A 22,715-nucleotide genomic window follows, 5' to 3' on the forward strand; every position below is an offset into this window, starting at 1 on the left:
AGTGTGCCTAATCTTATGGCTCCCACACTTTCAATTGTTCTTCCTGAAACAATTAGATATGAAGCCGCAAGAGCCCAGGCAGGGCTGGATTGATTCTTGAACTAATCAACATTTATGCCCTCTTGGCTAAACTAGGCAGAGTTGGTTTTATTACAGTTCAGATGTGATTAAGCACACTGTATTGTGTCAGCGGCAGGTGACGAGCCACACAGTGTCCTGAGGCCTGATGAAAGGGCTATGCCAACCACAGTCCCAGAGGAGGAGCTGGCTGTAGCAGCGACTGACCCAGGAGCTGAAGTGAGCCAAGCCCCCTCCTCCTGAGACCCCTGAGAGGTAAGGCAGGCTCATGCCAGACCCTATTACGTCCCACATCATGGCTAGAACCAGAACCATCTTACATGGCTGGTCAAGGCAAGGATAACCCCAGGAAGTCAGAGGACTTGGAGACTCTGTATTGTAGGAAAAAAAAAAAATACTAGAAAAGACACTGGAGCGTCACCAGCAGTCACCCCTGGATGGTGGCATTATTATTATTAGTAGTATTTTTTTTGAGATGGAGTCACTCTGTCGCCCAGGCTGGAGTGCAGTGGCATGATCTTGGCTCACTGTAACCTCCGTTTCCTGGGTTCAGGCAATTCTCCTGCCTTAGTCTCCTGAGTAGCTGGGATTACAGATGTGTGCCACCATGACTGGCTAATTTTTGTAGATGGTGGCATTATGAATATGGATTTTGGTTTTCATCATCAAATATTTCTGTTTTCCCCACATTAGCTGTAAACAGTATATATTTTTGGTAAATTAAGTTGAAAGAATGAAAAAATTAAAATAGTATAAAGAATATCTGTTTAAGTGCAGTGGAGTGTGCCTGTGGTCCTAGCTACTTCGGAGGCTTAGATGGAAGGATTGCTTGAGCCCAGGAGTTCAAGACCAACCAGAGCAATGTAGCAAGACTGTGTCTGTTTTATTTTAAAAATAAATAAATAAAACATAAAGAATAACTGTTTAAAATACTATTCAAAATGAAGTCATAAAGGAGGGGATTATGTTTTTTAGTCATAGTTCCCTCAAGGGCTCAGACCGGAGAACATAACCGAGTTTGGAGCCCTCTGGCACTGTCTTTGCGCCTGACCTCTGCTCTCCAGGGGGTGACGTGAGCTGGTGGGTGCTGAGTCATCATGGGTGGGTCACAGCCTCCCTCGGAGGCCTGGAGATGGGCCTGTCTGTGCTGAACTTTACTGGGCAGGGGGCAGCTCCAAGGCCCTCACTGGGGGCAGCCTAGAGCATAGATCACTCTCTGGACTTGCTCTTCTCCTAATAAATGGACAGTGATCAATGAATTACACCCATGAAATAGGGTGGGATGCAATAAGAAATAAAAGATAATATAAATAGCCAGATAGGGTCAAAAGATGATTTATTTTACTTTATATTTTTGAAATAATTTCAGATTTACAACATAGTTGCAAAAATAATGCAAATGTTTACATCTTACATAACCCAGTACAATGATCCTAACACTGACAGATTGTTGTTGTTGTTGTTAATTTGAGACAGAGTTTCACTGTTGTTGCCCAAGCTGGAGTGCAATGGTGCGATCTCGGCTCACTGCCGCCTCTGCCTCCCGGGTTCAAGCGATTCTCCTACCTCAGCCTCCTGAGTAGCTGGGATTGCAGGTGCCCACCACCATGCCTGGCTGATTTTTGTATTTTTAGTAGAGACAGGGTTTCACCATGTTGTCCAGGCTGGTTTCAAACTCCTGACCTCAGGTGATCCACCCACCTCGGCGTCCCAAAGTGCTGGAATTAGAGGCGTGAGCCACCATGCCCAGCTAGATTATTGTTAACTGATCCAAAAGCCTTATTTGGATTTCACCTGAAGTCCTTTTTCTGTTTCAGGATCCAACCCAGGTTCCCATATTGCATTCAGTTGTCATGTCACTTTGGTGTCCTTTTCTCTGGAGCAGTCTCTCAGTCTCCTTGTTTTTCCTGACCTTGAAATTTTTGAAGAGTTATTCTGCAGAGCAGTGCTATCCAATAGAACTTTCAGTGATGATAGAAATGCTCTGTTTGGGCCTGACGCTGTGGCTCACACCTGTAATCCCAGAACTTTGGGAGGCTGAGGCAGGCAGATCACCTGAGGTCGGGAGTTTGAGACCAACCTGGCCAAGGTGGAGAAACCCCGTGTCTACTAAAAATGCAAAATTAGCTGGGCATGGTGGTGCATGCCTATAATCCCAGCTACTCGGGAGGCTGAGGCAGGAGAATCGCTTGAACCTGGGAGGCAGAGGTTGTGGTGAGCCGAGATCACGCCATTGTACTCCAACCTCAACAACAAGAGTGAAACTCTGTCTCAAAACAAAACAAACAAAAAAAATAGAAATGCTCTGTGTCACCGAGTATGAAGCCATTAGCTACATGAAAATAGCATTTGAAATGTGGCTCATGGGCCAGGTGCAGTGGCTCACGCCTGTAATCCCAGCACTTTGGGAGGCCAAGGTGGGTGGATCACTTGAGGTCAGGAGTTTGAGACCTGCCTGGCCCATATGGTGAAACCTCGTCTCTACTAAAAATACAAAAATTGGCCGGGCGTGGTGACATGCGCCTGTAGTCCCAGCTACTCGTGAGGCTGAGGCAGGAGAATCACTTGAACCCGGGAGGCGGAGGTTGCAGTGAGCCGAGATTGGGCCACTGCACTCCAGCCTGGGTGAAAGAGTGAGATTCTGTTTCAAAAAAAAAAAAAAAAAAAAAAAAGAGAAATGTGGCTCGTGGGTCTCAGGAACTGGCTTCTAAGTATTATTTAATTTTAATTAAAATAGCTACATGTGGCTAGTAGCCATTGTATTGGATAGGACAGCTGTCAAATGTCTCTCGTTTTGGGTTTGCTTACTGTTTCCCTATGATTAGTTTCAGATCATGAGCTTTTGATAGGAATACCATAAGCATGTTGTTGTGTTCTTCTTTGTCTAAATCTTTATAAAAGCTGTTGATAGGTGGCAGGGAACCACCTAGTCAGGCAGTGGGATTGTTTGAATGCTCTTTGAGGTCCAGCAAAGACAGGAGTGATAGCTGCACTTGGAAGCCCGCTCCTACACTTTCAATGTTCTTCCTGAAAGAATTAGATATGAAGCTGCTAGAGCTGCTCCGGTGGGGAGCAGGCAGGATTGATTCTTGAACTAATCAACATTTATGCCCTCTTGGCTAAACTAGGCAGAGCTGGTTTTATTACAGTTCAGGTGTGATTAAGCATACTTTGTAAATGCTGAAGGTTGTGAAATATTCACAGGGATATAAAGTACAGTAATAAAACCTCACTTGAGGCTGGGCGTAGTGGCTCACGCCTGTAATCCCAGCACTTTGGGAGGCCGAGGTGGGAGGATCACCTGAGGTCAGGAGTTTGAGACCAGCCTGGCCAACATGGTGAAACTCCGTCTCTACTAAAAATACAAAAATTAGCCGGGCGCAGTGGCATGTGCCTGTAATCTCAGCTACTTGGGAGGCTGAGGCAGGAGAATTGCTTGAACCCAGGAGGTGGAGGTTGCAGTGAGCCGAGATCGCGCCATTGTACTCCAGCCTGGGCGACAGAGCATGACTCTGTCTCAAAAAAAAAAAAAAAAAAAAAGAATAGAAGACCCTGTGCCTGGAAGATCGTAGGTGCTCAGTAAGTGCTGGCCTCTGCCCCAGAAGGGGAAGGGCGAGGCAGATGGCAGGAACTGCGGGAGGTACCTGTCCCAGGCCCTTGGGCGTAAGAGGCCTCTCCCACGCAGCACCCAACCCATACCCAGCCTGCCCGCCAGCCAACCTTGGCGTCCCTGCCTTGCGCCTACCTACCCAGCAGTCCCCCGCCCGCTCCCACTCCCACAGGCCCAGCGTGCACGTCTCCAGGATAGGCATCCTTGCCCCTGTGACTTCAGCGGCACCCAACGTTTATTGGGCACTAACTGTATGCCAGGCCATGGGGGTGCCGGAGAGAACGACACGAAGACCCTCACCCCTCAAAGTTCCCAGGGGGAGGAGGGGCTGCTTCACTTGGGAAGCGTGGGGATGGAATTCTCAGCCCCCCGATGACTCCGAGGCCGGCCACCTGCCTGGTTTCTGGCCGGACACCGGACTTCCCCTGGAAGTTGCTCGAGACTGCGCGCCCCCAGCAAAAAATCAGGTCGGTTCTCCGAGCCCAGTCTAGCGCTTCCCGACCCGCAAACCAAGGCCCAGTGACCGTCCCCGCTGCGCAGCCGCCTGCGTCGCCAGCCAACCACGCGCGGCCGAGTAGCCCCGCCCCTCCACATGGCCAATGGCCGCGCGCTCTGCCCGCCCCGCCTCCTCGCTGCGGGAAGGGTCCTGGGCCCCGGGCGGCGGTCGCCAGGTCTCAGGGCCGGGGGTACCCGAGGTAAGATCGCTTCCCGGGCGTTGGGTCCTTTCGGCTCAGCACGCACGGACGCCTTTAGGGAAGGTGGCTGCAGCGGCAGGACGGAGTCCGCCGGGACGCCCTGGGTCTGGGGTGCGCGGGGGGCCCAGGAGGGGACAGGACGCGCGGGGATCCGGAAGAGCGGGCCCTGTCGCAAGAGTTTCGGGAACACTGAGGGCTCCAGGCGCCGCATCCAGCATCCGGGGAAAAGGGGGTAGGTGGCGCTGGGCGTCTGCTCAGGCTGGGGGAAAGGTAGGGCCAGAAGGGGACGGGCAGCGGCCGCTGACCTCCTCCTGCCGCCCGCGGGCCCAGGGTGACGCTAAGGTGGGGCCGAGCCTCGACCGGGTGCGCCTAGAGGTCGAGTGCTGCCGCCCTCCGCTGGGTCTGGACAGTTCTCGGCGGCGACACCAGCTCAAAACGGCCTCCCCGCCCTCCGCGGACCTGGGTCGCGCCCAGGAATCCGATCCAAGGCTGTGAGGCCTGTCCCTTTGGGAAGGGTGGGTGTTTATTTCCGGGATGCACTCAGAGCCTCTGGACAGTCAGGTCGGAAACTTTGCTGTATTGGGAACACTCTGTCACCTACTTCCTTCTCAGTTGGGAAGGAAGTGCCAAGAAAACATGAAACAAACCAAAAACACGAAAAAGGGATTCTCTGTATGGAAGCCGTGAAGCCTCAAAAATATCTAGGAGGACAGCCAGCGACCTGGGACCTGTGGCAGCCATGTGAAAGCAGGGTTAATGTCTGGACTAAATGTTGCTTCCACCTAAGTGCACCCTCAGCCTCCCTCCCGCCAAGTGACCTTGGGTCCTCTTTGGGCTTGAAGGCAGGTGGCTGTGTGGGTCTCGCTGCAGGGGTCTCTGTGCCCTGCAAGGTGTATGACCAGTTGCAGTGAGGCAGCAGGTTTTGGGTTCAAATCCTGTGCTAGCCTCTGGCCAGCTGTGCACCTTGGCAACACTTTCCCTGTCACGGGATTGGGGAAGGATTAACTGAAAGAACCTTAGGATGTGCCTGTCTACAATGGGCCCTCCATAAATGTGAACAAATGTGGGCTTCCTTTCCTTTTGTTTGGGCCACATCATCCCTTCCCCTCCATCTGTGGCTGAAGCTGGAATGCAGAAGAGTGCCTCATCTGACTGCCTTCTGGTACCTGGCTGATGCCATGAGAAAGGAAGGAGAAAGGGGTCTTTTTTTTTTTGAAATGGAGTCTCACTCTCTTGCCCAGGCTGGAGCGCAGTGGTCCAATCTTGGCTCACTGCAACCTCTGCCTCCTGGGTCTAGAGATTCTCCTGCCTCAGCCTCCTGAGTAGCTGGGACTACAGGTGTGTGCCACCATGCCTGGCTAATTTTTGCATTTTTAGTAGAGACGGGGTTTCACCATGTTGGCCAGGCTGGTCTCAAACTCCTGACCTCAAGTGATCTGCCTGCCTCGGCCTCCCAAAGTGCTGGGATTCCAGGCGTGAGCCACCGCGCCCGGCCGAGAAAGGGATCTATTAACTCCCATAGAGTTGTTCTTTGCTAATTTCTTGAAGGCTCAGAGGACCCCCGCCTCACCTTCCTGATTCTCCTGACCTGTCATTAGTACTTGCCCCACGAGGAATGTAGCAGGGCCTGCTGGCTGGCAAAGCAACTCATGCATGTGAGGCTCTGAGGCCAGTGACAGGACTGCTTCCCCTGTGAGGAAGGTCTGGTGGCCCAACAGCTTTTAGGTGCTGTCTGCTCTACAGCACTGCCTCCTGAGAGAGGTCTCATGCCTGCCTGATGCCCACTTGGTCCTCTCCTGCCTCCTTCCCTCCCTGACAACCCACTTGGAATCCAATAGCATCTCAAACTTCACTTGTTCCGAACTGAGTTCTGGAGTCCCTTCTGAGCCACTGCTCCTCCCCTGGCTTCTCTGGCCTGGTAAAAGGGCACCTTCCATCCACCCAGTGCCCAAGGAGTCATGCTTCTTTTCTCTCCCTTATCTCCTACACCCTCAAAACACCAGGAATCTGGCTGCCTCCTGCCATCTCTGTGGTTCCCATCCTGACCATAGTCATCCTGTCTCCTGGGCTGTGGCCTCCTTACTGGTCTCCCAGTTTTCATCCTGGCCCCTCCAAAGTCCTCACAACCACCAGAGAAGTCTTTAATGTAAATCAGATCCTCTTCTTTCCCTGCCGGAACCTTCCAGTGGTTCCCTGTTTCACTCCAACTAAAACCCAGAGTCCTTTCCTACAGCACTCTACATGAGTGGCCCCTGCCACCTCCTTGACCTTGACAATCTCTGCCCCTTTCCCTAGCTTGCTTGCTTTTTTTTTTTTTTTTCCTATGATGGAGTTTTGATCTTGTCACCCAGGCTGGAGTGCAATGGGATGATTTCAGCTCACTGCAACCTCTGCCTCCTGGGTTCAAGCGATTCTCCTGCCTCAGCCTCCCGAGTAGCTGGGATTACAGGCGCCCACCACCATGCTAATTTTTGTATTTTTAGTAGAGAAAGGGTTTCACCATGTTGGCGAGGCTGGTCTCAACCTCCTGAGCTCAGGTGATCCACCCGCCTAGGCCTCCCAAAGTGCTGGGATTATAGGCGTGAGTCACGCAGCCAGCCATCCCTAGCTTTCTTGACCTAGACCACACTGACCTGCTTTCTATTCTTCAAACATGCCAAGCTCATTCTTGTTTTAGGACTTTTGCATTTACCATGCTCTCTGCCTAAAACACCAATCTTCTCAGAGCCTGAGAACAGCTCAGCTGTGTTCTGCACGCTAGTTCAGAAAGGCTTCTTTGACCCCCTAGTTCAAGTAGCATGCCTGTCTCCAGGGGCTCTGTCTCATTACCTGCTTTACTTTCTTTAGAGCCTTTATTGCTATCTGGAACTCTTATTTGGGTATTAATTTACTGATCTGTTATTTGTCCCACCCCATTAGAATATAAATTGGATGTGGCATAGACCTTGTCTCTTTTATTCCCTGCAGCACTCCCTGATGGGGGCGGCAGAAAAGTAACGAGCAAATACATCTATAACTGCAAATTGTGGTAACTCCTACATAAACAACTGGCAGCAATTGCTTATATTTGAGGCACTTAAAAATTTTTAAGCTGGCTGGGCGCGGTGGCTCATGCCTGTAATCCCAGCACTTTGGGAGGCCGAGGCGGGCAGATCACGAGGTCAGGAGATCGAGACCATCCTGGCTAACACGGTGAAACCTGTCTCTACTAAAAATACAAAAAATTAGCCGAGCGTGGTAGCAGGCGCCTGTAGTCCCAGCTACTTGGGAGGCTGAGGCAGGAGAATGGTGTGAACCCGGGAGGCGGAGCTTGCAGTGAGCCGAGATTGCACCACTGCACTCCAGCCTGGGTGAAGGAGCGAGACTGTCTCAAAAAAAAAAAAAAAAAAAAAAAAAGAAATTTTTTTAAGCTGCTGGGCGCGGTGGCTCACGCCTGTAAATCTCAGCACTTTGGGAGGCCGAGGTGAGCGGATCACCTGAGGTCGGGAGTTCGAGACCGGAACATGGTGAAACCCTGTCTCTACTAAAAATACAAAATTAGCGGGGCGTGGTGGCTCATGCCTGTAATCCCAGCTACTTGGGAGGCTGAGGCAGGAGAATCGCTTGAACCCAGGAGGCAGAGGTTGCAGTGAGCCGAGATCGCGCCATTGTACTCCAGCCTGGGCAAAAAGAGTGAACTCCATTTCAAAAAAAAAAAAAAAGGCCAGGCGCAGTGGCTCACGCCTGTAATCCCAGCACTTTGGGAGGCCGAGGCAGGCGGATCACGAGTTCAGGAGATTGAGACCATCCTGGCTAACACGGTGAAACCCTATCTCTACTAAAAATACAAAAAATTAGCCGGGTGTGGTGGCGGGCGCCTGTGGTCCCAGCTACTCGGGAGGCTGAGGCAGGAGAATGGTGTGAACCCAGGAGGTGGAGCTTGCAGTGAGCCGAGATTGCACCACAGCACTCCAGCTTTGGTGACAGAGCGAAACTCCGTCTCAAAAAAAAAAAAAAAAAAAATTTAAGCTTAGAGGCCGGCCACAGTGGCTCAGCACTGTGCAGGCCAAGGCAAGAGGATCACTTGAGGTCAAGAGTTCGAGACCAGCCTGGCCAACATGGTGAAACCCTGTCTCTACTAAAAAATACAAAAATTGGCCAGGCGCGTTGGCTGGCGCCTGTAATCCTAGCAACTTGGGAGACCAAGGCAGGCAGATCACCTGGGGTCAGGAGTTCAGGACCGGCCTGGCCAACATTAAAACATATAAAACCCCGTCTCTACTAAAAATATAAAAATTATCCAGGCATGGTGGCGTGTACCCGTAATCCCAGCTACTCGGGAGGCTGAGGTAGGAGAATTGCTTAAACCCGAGAAGCAGAGGTTGCAGTGAACCGAGATTACGCCACTGCACTCCAGCCTGGGCAACAGAGCGAGACTCTTTCTCAAAAACAACAACAACAACAAACAAACAAATTAGCCAGGCATGATGGTGGGCACGTGTAATCCCAGCTACTCGGGAGGCTGAGGCAGGAGAATTGCTTGAATGTGGGAGATGGAGGCTGCAGTGAGCCGAGATCACACCACTGCACTCCAGCCTGGGCGACAGGGAGACTCTGTCTCAAAAAAAAAAAAAAAAAAAAAAGTTTATAAGGCTGAATTACCGTACTGTCAAAACAAGCTGCTATCTGAGCCGTTTTAAGGGTGAGGAAGTCTGGAAACTGATAACTTGCCCAGGACACACAGTGAGTTCAAGGCATGGAACTCAGTCTCCTATCTTAAGAATGTATGTGGGCCGGGCATGGTGGCTCACGCCTGTAATCCCAGCGCTTTGGGAGGCCAAGGCAGGCAGATCATCTGAGGTCAGGAGTTCAAGACCAGCCTGACCAACATGGAGAAACCCTGTCTCTACTAAAAATACAAAATTAACCAGGTGTGGTGGTGCATGTCTGTAATTCCAGCTACTCAGGAGGCTGAGGCAGAAGAATCACTTGAACCCGGAAGGCAGAGGTTGCGATGAGCCGAGATTGTGCCATTGTACTCCAGCCTGGGCAACAAGAGTCTGGAACTCTGTCTCAAAAAAGAAAAAAAGAATGTATGTGTAGCAGGCTTTTTTTTTTTTTTTTTCCCCCGAGACGGAATCTGGCTCTGTCGCCCAGGCTGGAGTGCAGTGGCGCAATCTTGGCTCACTGCAAGCTCCGCCTCCCAGGTTCACGCCATTCTCCTGCCTCAGCCTCCCGAGTAGCTGGGACTACAGGCACCCGCCAGTACGCCGGGCTAATTTTTTGTATTTTTAGTAGAGACGGGGTTTCACCGTGTTAGCCAGGATGGTCTTGATCTCCTGACCTCGTGATCCACCCGCCTCGGCCTCCCAAAGTGCTGGGATTACAGGCGTGAGCCACCGTGCCCGGCCTATGTGTAGCAGGCTTTAATGGTGGGCCTGCAGCCATGTCATGGAAAGAAGCTGACCTGAAGATCTCAGTTCTTTCTTCTTCTACTAACTAGCAAGCATACCTCAGTTTCTTCTTTAAAGCGGGATGATCCGATTATTATCATGTTGGGGTTCACTTTTTATTTTTTCAGTGTGTCCCAAAGCAGCAGCACGTTTAGGTATAGCCCTCTTGCTATCAGCTTGAGGGCCTTAGAGCCAGGAAGGGAGCCAGGACATTTATAGGCACAGAAACTAGGGTCACATACAGATCCCCCCACCGCATGTGCTAGGGGTACATGCAGACCTTCCCAGTGCTGACCAACCTGCAGAGAAGAAATGGGCCCTAGGTATTCTGGATCTGATTCTTTTTGGTCTTCAATTATTTTTATTTTTATTTTTTTAGAGACAGGGTCTCGCTGTGTTGCCCAGGCTGGCCTCGAACAGCTGGGCTCAAGCGATCCTCCTGCCCTAGCTTCTTGAGTAGCTGGTGGTCATCAATTCATTTTTAGCAAATTCTGCAGAATTTTTTTTTTTTTTTTTTTTTTTGAGACGGAGTCTCACTCTGCCGCCCAGGCTGGAGTGCAGTGGCGTGATCTCGGCTCACTACAACCTCCGCCTCTTGGGTTCAAGCAATTCTCTGTCTCAGCTTCCTGAATAGCTGGGACTGCAGGCGCCCGCCACCATGCTTGGCTAATTTTTTTGTATTTTCAGTAGAGACGGGGTTTCACCATCTTGGCCAAGTTGGTATTGAACTCCTGACCTCGTGATCCATCCGCCTCGGCCTCCCAACGTGCTGGGGTTACAGGCGTGAGCCACCGCGCCCGGGTTCTGCAGGAATTTTGGAGAGACTCAGGCAGTAATAAAATAGGATGTTTACAGAAATTAAAGATGGCGGCCGGGCGCGGTGGCTCACGCCTGTAATCCCAGCACTTTGGGAGGCCGAGGCGGGCGCATCACGAGGTCAGTAAATCGAGACCATCCTGGCTAACCCCGTGAAACCCCGTCTCTACTAAAATACAAAAAAATTAGCCGGGCGTGGTGGCGGGCGCCTGTCGTCCCAGCTACTCAGGAGGCTGAGGCAGGAGAATGGCGTGAACCCGAGAGGCGGAGCTTGCAGTGAGCCGAGATCGCGCCACCGCACTCCAGCCTGGGCGACAGAGAAAGACTCCGTCTCAAAAAAAAAAAAAAGAAATTAAAGGTGGCTGGACACATTGGCTGGTGCTTGTCATCCGAGCTACTTGACAGGCGGAGGCAGGGGGATCGCTTGAGGCCAGGCGTTTGAGACCAGCCTGGGCAGCATCATGAGACCCTGTCTCTAGAAAAAATAAAAAAATTAGCTGGGCATAGTGGCGCAGGTTTGTAGTTCCAGCTACCGGGGATGCTGAGGCGGGAGGATTGCTTGAGCCCACGAGTTCGAGGCTGCAGTGAACTATTATTGCACCACTGCACCCAACTTGGGTGACAGAGACCCCATCTGTTTGTTTGTTTGTTTTTGAGACAGAGTTTCGCTCTTGTTGCCCAGGCTGGAGTGCAATGGTGCAATCTTGGCTCACCGCAACCTCTGCCCCCAGGTTCAAGCAATTCTCCTGCCTCAACCTCCCGAGTAGCTGGGATTACAGGCATGCGCCACCATGCCCAGCTATTTTTTTTTTTTTTTTGTATTTTTAGTAGAGACGGGATTTTCTCCATGTTGGTCAGTCTGGTCTCCAACTCCCGACCTCAGTTAATCCCCCAAATTGGCCTCCCAAAGTGCTGGGATTATAGGCGTGAACCACTGTGCCCAGCCCGAGACCCCATCTCTTAAAAACAAAATAAAACAAAACAAAAACGGCCAGGTGTGGTGGCTCACACCTGTAATCCCCAAACTTGGGAGGCCGAGGCGGGTGGACCACTTGAGGTCAGGAGTCTGTGACCAGCTTGCCAACATGGTGAAACCCCATCTCTACTAAAAATACAAAAATTAGCTGGGCATGGTGGTGCGCACCTGTAATCCCAGCTACTCAGAAGGGAGGCTGAGGCAAGAGACTCAATTGAACCCAGGAGGCGGAGGTTGCAGTGAGCCGAGATTGCCCCACTGCACTCCAGCCTGGGTGACAAAGTGAGACTCGCTCTCAAAAAAAAAAAAAAGAAGAAATTAAAGATGAAAGAAAACAAACATTCCAAAAAGTTGAGAAAGAATTGCCTTTTGTCCAGCCCCACTCCCAACCCCCCAACCCTGTTGTAATGTGTGATCTGTTTTCTTCCAGTCTCGTTTCCTCTCAGTCCATCCACCCTTCATGGGGCCAGAGCCCTCTCTCCAGAATCTGAGCAGCAATGCCGTTTGCTGAAGACAAGACCTATAAGTATATCTGCCGCAATTTCAGCAATTTTTGCAATGTGGATGTTGTAGAGATTCTGCCTTACCTGCCCTGCCTCACAGCAAGAGACCAGGTGAGCAAGGGAAGTGACAGCCCGACACTGGCCTGGGGGCAGGGCTGTGGAATTCAAAGCTCAGCCCCATCCTAGTTCCTCACCCAAGCCTGGGCTGGCTCCTTCCTTCTTCCTCTTGCTGTGTCTTGCTCCTTGTCCTTGCTGCTTTTCTTTTTTTTTTTTTTTTTTGAGATTGAGTCTCGTTCTGTCGCCAGGCTGGAGTGCAGTGGCACGATCTTGGCTCATTGCAACCTCCGCCTCCTGGGTTCAAGTGATTCTCCTGCCTCAGCCTCCTGAGTAGCTGGGATTACAGGTGCGTGCCACCACGCCCAGCTAATTTTTTTGTTTTTAATAGAGACGGGGTTTCACCATGTTGGCCAGGATGGTCTTGATCTCTTGACCTTGTGATCCGCCTGCCTCGGCCTCCCAAAGTGCTGGGATTACAGGCGTGAGCCACCGCACCCTTGCTGCTTTTCTAACTTTTGGATGGAGTGTGGCTCAGGGTGGCGTTGCTGACTTCGCCGAGCTCCCCCTTGTGTTGCTTTTGTGCACTGCTCAAAAATATGGCGCTGGCTCTCTGAGATTTCCTGGCTCTGGTCCACTTGCCCACTTTTTTTGGAACCTCCTATTTCCTTCATCTCTCTTGCCCTTCCTTGTCCTGCTCAGTTTTGATTCCATTCTCCTTGTCATGGGGCCCTGTCCTGGCACGGAGCTGGGACTCAGGTTTGAGAGCTGGCAGGATCAGGGTCGCTCTAGCCCCAACAGAACTTGCTGCAGGCCCCTGGCACTCACTAGCTGGTGAAACGGGCACAACCCCTCCCCGTTGTAGCTGCTGTTCTCAGATTGGACCCCTGTGCTCCAGAGGGTACCTGTTGGCTCTTTTGGGGCCTCCTGTCCTCAGATTTCTCAGGAGCCCCATTGTTGTCTCCGCTGTCCTCCCACACAGATCGCATTAGTATGCAGGTCTGTTTGGAGTTTGCTCCTCCCTCTTGTATTTTGGGGTTTATAGGGATATCTTGTTTTATAGTAAATATTTTCTGTGGGTTTTCTTTATTTTCTTTAAAAAATTTTTTTTTGAGACGGAGTCTCGCTGTGTTGCCCAGGCTGCAGTGCAATGGCATGATCTCAGCTCACTGCAACCTCTGCCTCCTGGGTTCAAGTGATTCTCGCGCCTCAGCCTCCTGAGTAGCTGGGGTTACAGGCGCATGCCACCACACCTGGCTGATTTTGTATTTGTAGTAGAGATGGAGTTTCACCATGTTGGCCAGGCTGGTCTTTATTTTTATTTTTGAGACAGAGTCTTGCTCTGTCACTCAGGCTGGAGTGCAGTGGCACGATTTTTTTTTTTTTTTGAGACGGAGTCTCACTCTGTCGCCCAGGCTGGAGTGCAGTGGTGTGATCTCGGCTCACTGCAAGCTCTGCCTCCTGGGTTCACGCCATTCTCCTGCCTCAGCCTCTTGAGTAGATGGGACTACAGGCGCCTGCCACCATGCCCGGCTAATTTTTTGTATTTTTAATAGAGACGGGGTTTCACTGTGTTAGCCAGGATTGTCTCGATCTCCTGACCTCATGATCCACCCGCCTCGGCCTCCCAAAGTGCTGGGATTACAGGCGTGAGCCACTGCGCCCAGCATTTTTTTTTTTTTTTTTTTTGAGATGGAGTCTCGCTGTGTCTTCCAGGCTGGAGTTGCAGTGGTGCCATCTTGGGTCAACCTCTGCCTCCTGGGTTCAAGCAATTCTCCTGCTTCAGCCTCCTGAGTAGCTGGGATTACAGGTATATGCTACCACACCCGGCTAATTTTTGTGTTTTTAGTAGAGACGGACTTTCACCATGTTGGTCAGGCTGGTCTTGAACTCCTGACCTTGTGATCCTCGGCCTTCCAAAGTGCTGGGATTACGGGTGTGAGCTACCGCACCTGGCTATTTTCCTTTTTCTAAAAATCTAGCTCCTGCAGGATTCTGTGGGTTTTTGTTTCTGCTGTCTGGTTGCTTGTTTTTATGTGAGAATTCAGGTAGACATAAAAACTCTAGGGCTGGGCACGGTGGCTCACGCCTGTAATCCCAGCGCTTTGGGAGGCCAAGGCGGGTGGATCACCTGAGGTCAGGAGTTCGAGACCAGCCTGGCCAACATGGCGAAACCATGTCTCTACTAAAAATACAAAAAAATTAGCCGGGTGTGGTGGTGGGCTCCTGTAATCCCAGCTACTCGGGAGGCTGAGGCAGGAGAATCGCTTGAACTCAGGAGGCAGAGGTTGCAGTAAGCTGATATCACGGCACTGCACTCCAGCCTGGGCGACGGAGTGGGACTCCGTCTGAAAAAAAAAAAAAAAAAAGAAACAAAAAAACTCTGCAGCCACTGTCATCTGCCCACAATCTCCCCAGCATTCTCAGCTTCCTTGTTTGTTATTGTCGGCCCCCTCTCTTTCCGTCTTTTGCCCCTTTCATCATACTTTTGCTATCTACCTTTTCCTTCTCTCCTAATCCAAACCTTTCTTTTTGCCCTGGGGGCCATATTAATCCAAGGCTTTTGTATCAGATTAACTGGGTTTGGATTCCTGCCCCACTGTTTTAGGATCTTTGCTACAGTACTTTGCTTCTGCTAAGCCTCAGTTTCCTCATTAGTAAAGTGGAGATAATAATGGCATTAAATAAAGATGATACATGCAAAGCCCTTAATGGAGAGCCCAGGACATAGTTAATTGCCAGTTTCCGGCAGCTGCCTTTATTGATGTGGCTGCTAATTGCTCTTCCTCACTCCATACCTGGCCCTGTCCTGGGCTCCGATCCAGTTTCACGTGGCTGCCTTGCCCTTGTGGCTTTCTTGGCACCCCTCCCCCCGCTGTGGCTTCATTCTGGGTGGGGAAGTGGCAGGGGCCACCTGGCTTGAGCAGGACAGTGGCATTGTGTCTTCCAGGATCGACTGCGGGCCACCTGCACACTCTCAGGGAACCGGGACACCCTCTGGCATCTCTTCAATACCCTTCAGCGGCGGCCCGGCTGGGTGGAGTACTTCATTGCGGCACTGAGGGGCTGTGAGCTAGTTGATCTCGCGGACGAAGTGGCCTCTGTCTACCAGAGCTACCAGCCTCGTGAGCGTCCTGCCCTTGCCCTCCTGGACCCCCAGCCTGCTCCCTGGCCTCCGCTCTCCTTTTCTCTCTCCCTGTACTTCCTGCCTTTCTCTGTCATCCTCTTTCTTGTCACTGTGAAGCGATGAATAAACCTGGGTGTAGATCCAGGCTGAGCCACTTACCAGCTGTGTCCCTTTGGCCAAGTCCCTTAATTTCCCTGAGCCTCAGGCCTCTCTTCTGTAAAATGAAGCTCATGGCAGCATCTGCCGCGGGGAGCTGCAGTGGGTGATACTGCGGGACGATGCGTGTTGAGTATTGAGCTGGGCTGGGCACTTCCTGTATGCCCAGCACATGGAGTCTCCCCTAACTTTCACGGCTGTAGCATTCGCCTCCCACCCTTCCTCATTTCTTCTCCCCCACCTACTCATTCACCCTCCCTCTCTCCTCCTTCTCTTCCCCTCCCCTGGTTTACCCTGAGAGCCTTCGACGCCCTCTATCAGCTGCCCAGTTATTCTTTAAGTCCCTCTCAGTGTCCCTGCCACTCTGAGTGCTCGGAGGCGATTTGATGAGATTGAGTTTGATCCTGAGTGAGATCAAGACATGGGAGGAGGCTGGGCGCGGTGTTTCACACCTGTAATCCCAGCACTTTGGGAGGCCGAGGCAGGCGGATCATGAGGTCAGGAGATGGAGACCACCCTGGCTAAAACAGTGAAACCCCGTCTCTACTAAAAATACAGAAAATTAGCCGGGCATGTTGTCCCAGCTACTCAGGAGGCCGAGGCAGGAGAATCACTTGAACCAGGGAGGCAGAGGTTGCAGTGAGCTGAGATCGCGCCACTGCACTCCAGCCTGGGCGACAGAGTGGGATTCCATCTCAAAAAAAAAAAAAAAAAGACATGGGAAAAAAAATCAAGCCAGCCCTATTTATATTTCAAACTAGAGGTAACCCCCGAGACCCTGGTCACATTTATAGCTGTGGGACATCCATGTTTTTCTTTTCTTTCTCTCTCTTTTTTTTTTTTCCTTTTAGAGACAGAGTCTTGCTGCGCCACCCAGGCTGCAGTGCAGTGGTGCAATCATAGCTCACTGCAGCCTTGACCTCCTGGACTCAAGTGATCCTTCTACCTCAGCCTCCAGAGTAGCTGGGACTACAGGCATGGACAACTACACCTGGCTAATTTTTAAATTTTTTGTAGAGATGACATCTCACTATGTTGCCCAGGCTGGTCTCAAACTCCTGGGCTGAAGCGATCGGCCTCCCAGAGTGCTGGGATCATAGGTGTGAGCCACCGCGTCTGGCTCTCATGCTTGCTTTTCTCTCCTTTTTCCCTTCCTTGCTTTTCCTCCCTCCCTCCCTCCCTTCCTCTCTTCCTTCCTTTTTTTCCTTCCTTCTTTTTAAATATGTCTCTTCATGTGTGGAGATTAATAGTGATCCCTGGCTGGGCACGGTGGCTCACGCCTGTAATCCCAGCACTTTGGGAGGCCGAGGCGGGCGGATCACAAGGTCAGGAGTTCGAGACCAGCCTGGCCAATATGGTGAAACCCTGTCTGTACCAAAAATACAAAAAAATTAGCTGCGCATGGTGGTGCAAGCCTGTAATCCCAGCTACTTGGGAGGCTGAGGCAGGAGAATTGCTTGAACCGGGGAGGTGGAGGTTGCAGTGAGCCGAGATTGCGCCACTGCACTCCAGCCTGGATGACAGAGTGAGACTCCGTCTCCAAAAAAAAAAAACCCAAAAATAGTGATCCCCTGAATACAATGGCTGTGGTAGGGCCTGATGAGGGGTGGGGGCAAAGGGGAGGGGCTCAGGTGGCAGCATCAGGGCAGGGGTCAGTGAGCAATGATAGTCATGTGGAGGAGAAAGCCACTGGGTCCTAGGATGCCTGGGGACAGAGAAGAGTGACTGCTGACACGGCGTGGGTGACTAGAGACCCACGAGGCCCCCCCATACTCCCCTTCCTCCCTTGCTACCTTGTCCTCCATCTGCTCTCACCCTCCCACTCCTGCCCCCTTGCCAAGTGATGCTTGTCACTCCTTTTTTTTTTGAAATGGAGTTTCGCTCTGTCGCCCAGGCTGGAGTGCAGTGGTGCCATCTCAGCTCACTGCAAGCTCCGCCTCCCGGGTTCACGCCATTCTCCTGCCTCAGCCTCCCGAGTAGCTGGGACTACAGGCGCCTGCAACCATGCCCGGCTAACTTTTTGTATTTTTTAGTAGAGATGGGGTTTCACCGTGTTAGCCAGGATGGTCTCGATCTCCTGACCTCGTGATCCACCCGCCTCGGCCTCCCAAAGTGCTGGGATTACAGGCGTGAGCCACCAAGCCCAGCCCTGCTTGTCACTCTTGAGGAGTGGGCCCACATCAGAACAGCTTTTGGACCTATGGGTGGGGCGGGGGGTGTACCCAAGAGCACCCAAGCCTCTTTAATCATGAGGAGAACCCCCAATTCCTTTTTTTTTGAGACAGAGTCTTGCTCAGTCGCCCAGGCTGGAGTGCAGTGGCATGACTTCGGCTCACCACAACCTCTGCCTCCCGGGTTCAAGTGGTTCTCCTTCCTCAGCCTCCCTATAGTCCCTGATTCCTTCTATTTTTTTTTTTTTTTTTTGAGACGGAGTCTCGCTCTTGTTGCCCAGGCTGGAGTGCAATGGTGCAATCTCAGGTCATGGCAACCTTCACTTCCCAGGTTCAAGCAATTCTCCTGCCTCAGCCTCTCGAGTAGCTGGGATTACAGGCATGCGCCTCCACGCCTGGCTAATTTTGTTATTTTTAGTAGAGACAGGGTTTCTCCATGTTGGTCAGGCTGGTCTCGAACTCACGACCTCAGGTGATCCACCCACTTCGGCCTCCCAAAGTGCTGGGATTACAGGCGTGAGCCACCACGTCTGGCTTCTTTTTCTTTTTTTCCCCCGAGACGGAGTCTTGCTCTGTTGCCCAGGCTGGAGTGCAGTGGCGCGATCTCAGCTCACTGCAACCTCCGTCTCCCAGGTTCAAGCAATTCTTCTGCCTCAGCCTCCTGAGTAGCTGGGATTACAGGTGCTTGCCAGCACGCCTGGCTAATTTTTGTATTTTTAGTAGAGACGGGGTTTCACTATGTTGGCCAGGCTGGTCTTGAACTCCTGACCTCCTAATCCACCTGCCTTGGCCTCCCCAAATCCTGGGATTACAGGCATGAGCCATCGTGCCCAGCCCCTGATTCCTTCTTTTTTTTTCTTTCTTTTTTTTTTTAGACGGAGTCTCGCTCTGTCGCCCAGGCTGGAGTGCAGTGGCGCGATCTTGGCTTACTGCAAGCTCCGCCTCCCGGGTTCACGCCATTCTCCTGCCTCAGCCTCCTGAGTAGCTGGGACTACAGGGGCCCGCCACCATGCCCGGCTAATAATAATGTTGTATTTTTAGTAGAGATGGGGTTTCACTGTGTTAGCCAGGGTGGTCTCGATCTGACCTCGTGATCTGCCTGCCTTGGCCTCCCAAAGTGCTGAGATTACAGGCATGAGCCACTGTGCCCAGCCCTGATTCCTTCTTGATATCACTACATCTTTGTCCTCTAGGGACCTCGGACCGTCCCCCAGACCCACTGGAGCCACCGTCACTTCCTGCTGAGAGGCCAGGGCCCCCCACACCTGCTGCGGCCCACAGCATCCCCTACAACAGCTGCAGAGAGAAGGAGCCAAGTTACCCCATGCCTGTCCAGGAGACCCAGGCGCCAGAGTCCCCAGGAGAGGTCTGTCCTCATAGTCTACCTTGAGCCACCACTTTTGTGTTCCTATCTGCCCACTTCTGCCCATTGAGCCTTCCAGAAACCCTCTCCCGTCCCCTATAAATCACGCCTAATCTCTGCTCAGAACCCTAGGGCTTCCTCAGTGGGGATCTGCCCCAGACCAGCTTCCAGGCTGCTGACCAGGTCTTCACCCTGTGGCAGCCCTAATCCTCTGTCAGCAACCAGCTGGGAGACCACAGTTTTGTGTGTGTGTGTGTGTGTGTGTGTGACAGTGTCTCATTCTGTCACCCAGGCTGGAGTGCAGTGGAGTGATCTTGGCTCACTGCAACCTCTGCCTCCTGGGTTCAGGTCATTCTCCTGCCTCAGCCTCCTGAGTAGCTGGGATTACAGGCACCCACCACCACGCCCAGCTAATTTTTGTATTTTTAGTAGAGATGGGGTTTTGCCGTGTCAGCCAGGCTGGTCTCGAACTCCTGACCTCAGGTGATCTGCCCACCTTTGCCTCCCAAAGTGCTGGGATTACAGGCGTGAGCCACCGCACCTGGCAATGCTGTGTGTTTTCTGTGAGGTAGACGTAAGGACACCTGTGGACAGAGGGTCTGGGAATTACCAGAACCCAGGCAAGGGCTCCCCTGGCTCCTGTGCTCCATGGTGTGGGCTGAGGCCTATAGGAGATGCCCCAAGAGCACAAGCTGCCCTTTGTGAGCTCTTGGGAGAGGCAACTGCCTTATTCATATTTTCCCTCATTGCAGAATTCAGAGCAAGCCCTGCAGACGCTCAGCCCCAGAGCCATCCCAAGGAATCCAGATGGTGGCCCCCTGGAGTCCTCCTCTGACCTGGCAGCCCTCAGCCCTCTGACCTCCAGCGGGCATCAGGAGCAGGACACAGAACTGGGCAGTACCCACACAGCAGGTATGCATGGAATCTGGAATTATAGGGTCCTTCTGATCTCTCAAGTGAGGGTAAGAATTAGAGTTGCCCCATCTGGCTTCCTTGAACAGGAGACAAGGTGGGAATAAAGGGAGTTCAACCCAGGAAGCAAACCAGTTCCTTAGTGGGTGTATCAGTTAGCATTTGCTGTGTAACAAATAGTCCACTCCAGTTTTCCAAATTTTTTTTTTAGTAGCTTAAAATACAGCCATTTATTTAGCATATGATCCTGTGGGTCAGGCATTTGGGCTACCTACATGGGCATTTCTTCTGGTCTTGGCTGAATTTCCTCTCAAGTACTCACCGGTATATACATAAGTTCTGCCTCTGGCTGTTTGCTGAGCACCTTGGTTCTCTTCTATGTAGTCTCTCATCCTCCAGCACACAAACCCATCATGGCAGCTGGGCAGAGTTCTCAGAGAGGGCTCAAAACTGGCACAGTGTCCCCTGTGCTCCATTCTGTGGGCAAAAGCAAGTTATAAGGCCAGCCTAGATTCAAGGAGTAGGGAAATAGACTCCCTCCCTAGACGGGAGGACTGACAGGCACAGTGCAGTGGGGCTGGGTGGAGATGAGCGAGATAAGTAGGGCCATTTTTGCGCTCTGCCAAAGGGACTGTAGGGAACAGCCAGGGCCTATAGGGCAGTGGGAGAGGGACAGTGAAGGGCTGCATCAGCTGTTGGCAGGGGAACCTTTAGGCACTGTCTTACCGCAGAGATCTCCAGTTCCCAGTGAATCATGAAAACTTCTCAGTCCCCAGAGGAAGTAAGGTCTTCATCATCCAGTGGCCTGGACTCAACTCCAGATGTCAGTGCTCCCCCTCAGAAATATATAGTTGTCCATCTGGACCTCTCAGGCCAGCATGTCTCTTTCCTACTTCCCAAACTATTCCACATGACGCTGGTGCCCAGTCAGCCCTCAGTGCCCTGGGACAGCCACAAGACACATGAGCAGTTAGAGGCTGGGAGACGTCATCTTAGTACTTTTGTCATCCCCAAACTGCTCCAAGCACCTGTCTGCTTTGCAGTGTCACCTGGCCACGGGATGCCTTTCAGGAGTTGCTGTAGACCACAGAGGCAGAGGGCGCTTAGGTTTCAGTACGTTTGTAGACACAGGTCCCATGAGATTCTGTGGTATTAGATTGTGGTGGGGGAGCTGTACATCAGAATCACCCTGACTTTTGCCAGCTGTGGGGCTTGGCATGTGCATTCCGAGTTCCGTGGAGAGTCCTGCTGCAACTGCCTTTACAGACCATCACCACCTGCTATCCTCTGCTTCCCCCACCCAGGTCAGGCAGCCTCCCAGGGGTGGCTTTGTCCTTGTCCCCTCTCTTCCCAAGCCTCCGGGATGGCCAGGCCTCTCGGCTGGTGTGAGCTGTTCTGCATGAGCCATCCTGCCACCCCTTGCCCTGATCCATGGCTGCTCCCACTCATGGTGGTAGGAGAGGGACAGCAGTGGGGGAAGTGTCCAGGATTGCATGAGGCTAAGGTCAAAGTAGAAAAGGTAGACACAGGAGAGGGGAGGTTTCCCAGGTGGGAGAGGAAAAAGCGGAGAGAATAATTAATAATGGTCTTCAGGCTCCTAGGTACCATTTCACTGTGTGCCAGGACAGACCTGGGGCTACAGGTCAAGGACTGAGGGCAGCTGTTGGGCTTTCAGGCCAGGAAGCAGTGACCAAAGGGACTGTGGCATCTCCTCCAAGGGCAGGAGATTTGGAGGCCTAGACACAGTAGGGACCATGAGATCTGGGCCAGAGGGACCCTTCTCCAGGCCTCAAGGTAATGGTCTTTGGGTCTGTGTTTCCACTTGTGTTTTTCCACCGGCAGGTGCGACCTCCAGCCTCACACCATCCCGTGGGCCTGTGTCTCCATCTGTCTCCTTCCAGCCCCTGGCCCGTTCCACCCCCAGGGCAAGCCGCTTGCCTGGACCCACAGGGTCAGTTGTATCTACTGGCACCTCCTTCTCCTCCTCATCCCCTGGCTTGGCCTCTGCAGGGGCTGCAGAGGGTAAACAGGGTGCAGAGAGTGACCAGGCCGAGCCTATCATCTGCTCCAGTGGGGCAGAGGCACCTGCCAACTCTCTGCCCTCCAAAGTGCCTACCACCTTGATGCCTGTGAACACAGTGGCCCTGAAAGTGCCTGCCAACCCAGCATCTGTCAGCACAGTGCCCTCCAAGTTGCCAACTAGCTCAAAGCCCCCTGGTGCAGTGCCTTCTAATGCGCTCACCAATCCAGCACCATCCAAATTGCCCATCAACTCAACCCGTGCTGGCATGGTGCCATCCAAAGTGCCTACTAGCATGGTGCTCACCAAGGTGTCTGCCAGCACAGTCCCCACTGACGGGAGCAGCAGAAATGAGGTGAGTCCTCGCCCTTCCTGGCAGGGATCCTGGCCCCTTCCCCCGGGACAGCTTGCCCACCTGGCCCTGGCCTTGGCCCCTTCCCAGTCTGCATTCTGTGTCCAGCCTGTGCTGCTCTGTGGCCTCTCCTTGAGGGCATACAGACAGTTGAGAACCAGCCTCATGCAGGCCCCACACCATGTTCTCCAGGAGGAACAGTCATTGAGCTTCTAAGTCTGGACACCTCAGGAGGGTCAGCCACAGGGGGCACCCACTGGTCAGGTGTATAAGTTCATTTAGGGCTCGTAGTTCCTAGTGAAGCCGAGCGGTGCCGTTTTGCACATAAGGAAGCAGTGACGGGGACAGCACAGTGGCCCATCTGCCTCTTGCCTTGCTCTTCACCAGGATGCCTGGTGTGTCCCTCCATGGCCAGGCTTTACAGAACGCAGTCCCACCTGGAGCAGCCAC

The 22,715-nt window shown here is 52.4% G+C and overlaps 1 protein-coding gene across 4 annotated transcripts in view, besides 7 other annotated features; it reads left to right on the forward strand.

Annotated features, from left to right (window-relative positions):
- Window positions 1,097–1,241: an enhancer, noted in NCBI's record as "145 bp enhancer 155/156 fragment used in the MPRA reporter construct; PK_construct_3514". NCBI's record gives its function as "activates an SV40 promoter by MPRA in HepG2 and K562 cells {active_cell/tissue: HepG2 | K562}" and the evidence as "EXISTENCE:reporter gene assay evidence [ECO:0000049][PMID:23512712]".
- Window positions 1,164–1,174: a transcriptional cis regulatory region, noted in NCBI's record as "NFE2L2 motif; enhancer activity is reduced when this motif is scrambled". NCBI's record gives its function as "necessary for full MPRA enhancer 155/156 activity {active_cell/tissue: HepG2 | K562}" and the evidence as "EXISTENCE:site-directed mutagenesis evidence [ECO:0005528][PMID:23512712]".
- Window positions 2,230–2,369: an enhancer, noted in NCBI's record as "active region_17487". NCBI's record gives its function as "activates an Ori minimal core promoter by ATAC-STARR-seq in GM12878 lymphoblastoid cells {active_cell/tissue: GM12878}" and the evidence as "EXISTENCE:reporter gene assay evidence [ECO:0000049][PMID:35858748]".
- Window positions 3,731–3,780: a silencer, noted in NCBI's record as "silent region_12632". NCBI's record gives its function as "represses an Ori minimal core promoter by ATAC-STARR-seq in GM12878 lymphoblastoid cells {active_cell/tissue: GM12878}" and the evidence as "EXISTENCE:reporter gene assay evidence [ECO:0000049][PMID:35858748]".
- Window positions 4,211–4,590: a silencer, noted in NCBI's record as "silent region_12633". NCBI's record gives its function as "represses an Ori minimal core promoter by ATAC-STARR-seq in GM12878 lymphoblastoid cells {active_cell/tissue: GM12878}" and the evidence as "EXISTENCE:reporter gene assay evidence [ECO:0000049][PMID:35858748]".
- Window positions 4,314–22,715, forward strand: part of MAVS (mitochondrial antiviral signaling protein) — a 29,285-nt gene continuing 10,883 nt past the window's right edge. Inside the window, exons 1-7 of one of the 4 annotated variants that reach the window (NM_001385663.1) lie at window positions 4,314–4,383; window positions 12,038–12,221; window positions 15,115–15,289; window positions 16,299–16,422; window positions 18,812–18,984; window positions 19,734–19,893; window positions 21,736–22,268. In NM_001385663.1, coding sequence (NP_001372592.1) covers window positions 18,943–18,984; window positions 19,734–19,893; window positions 21,736–22,268 — 735 coding nt within the window. In that variant the 5' untranslated portion in view covers window positions 4,314–4,383; window positions 12,038–12,221; window positions 15,115–15,289; window positions 16,299–16,422; window positions 18,812–18,942. The remainder of the gene's footprint in view (window positions 4,384–12,037; window positions 12,222–15,114; window positions 15,290–16,298; window positions 16,423–18,811; window positions 18,985–19,733; window positions 19,894–21,735; window positions 22,269–22,715) is intronic. The other 3 variants (NM_020746.5, NR_037921.2, NM_001206491.2) reach the window with 3 other exon arrangements.
- Window positions 8,324–8,825: an enhancer, noted in NCBI's record as "H3K27ac hESC enhancer chr20:3831491-3831992 (GRCh37/hg19 assembly coordinates)". NCBI's record gives its function as "activates a minimal SCP1, AML or CMV promoter by ChIP-STARR-seq in primed H9 embryonic stem cells {active_cell/tissue: H9 hESC(primed)}" and the evidence as "EXISTENCE:reporter gene assay evidence [ECO:0000049][PMID:30033119]".
- Window positions 15,152–15,651: an enhancer, noted in NCBI's record as "H3K4me1 hESC enhancer chr20:3838319-3838818 (GRCh37/hg19 assembly coordinates)". NCBI's record gives its function as "activates a minimal SCP1, AML or CMV promoter by ChIP-STARR-seq in primed H9 embryonic stem cells {active_cell/tissue: H9 hESC(primed)}" and the evidence as "EXISTENCE:reporter gene assay evidence [ECO:0000049][PMID:30033119]".

The sequence above is a fragment of the Homo sapiens genome, chromosome 20 (assembly GCF_000001405.40).
Source record: "Homo sapiens chromosome 20, GRCh38.p14 Primary Assembly".
NCBI lineage: Eukaryota > Metazoa > Chordata > Mammalia > Primates > Hominidae > Homo > Homo sapiens.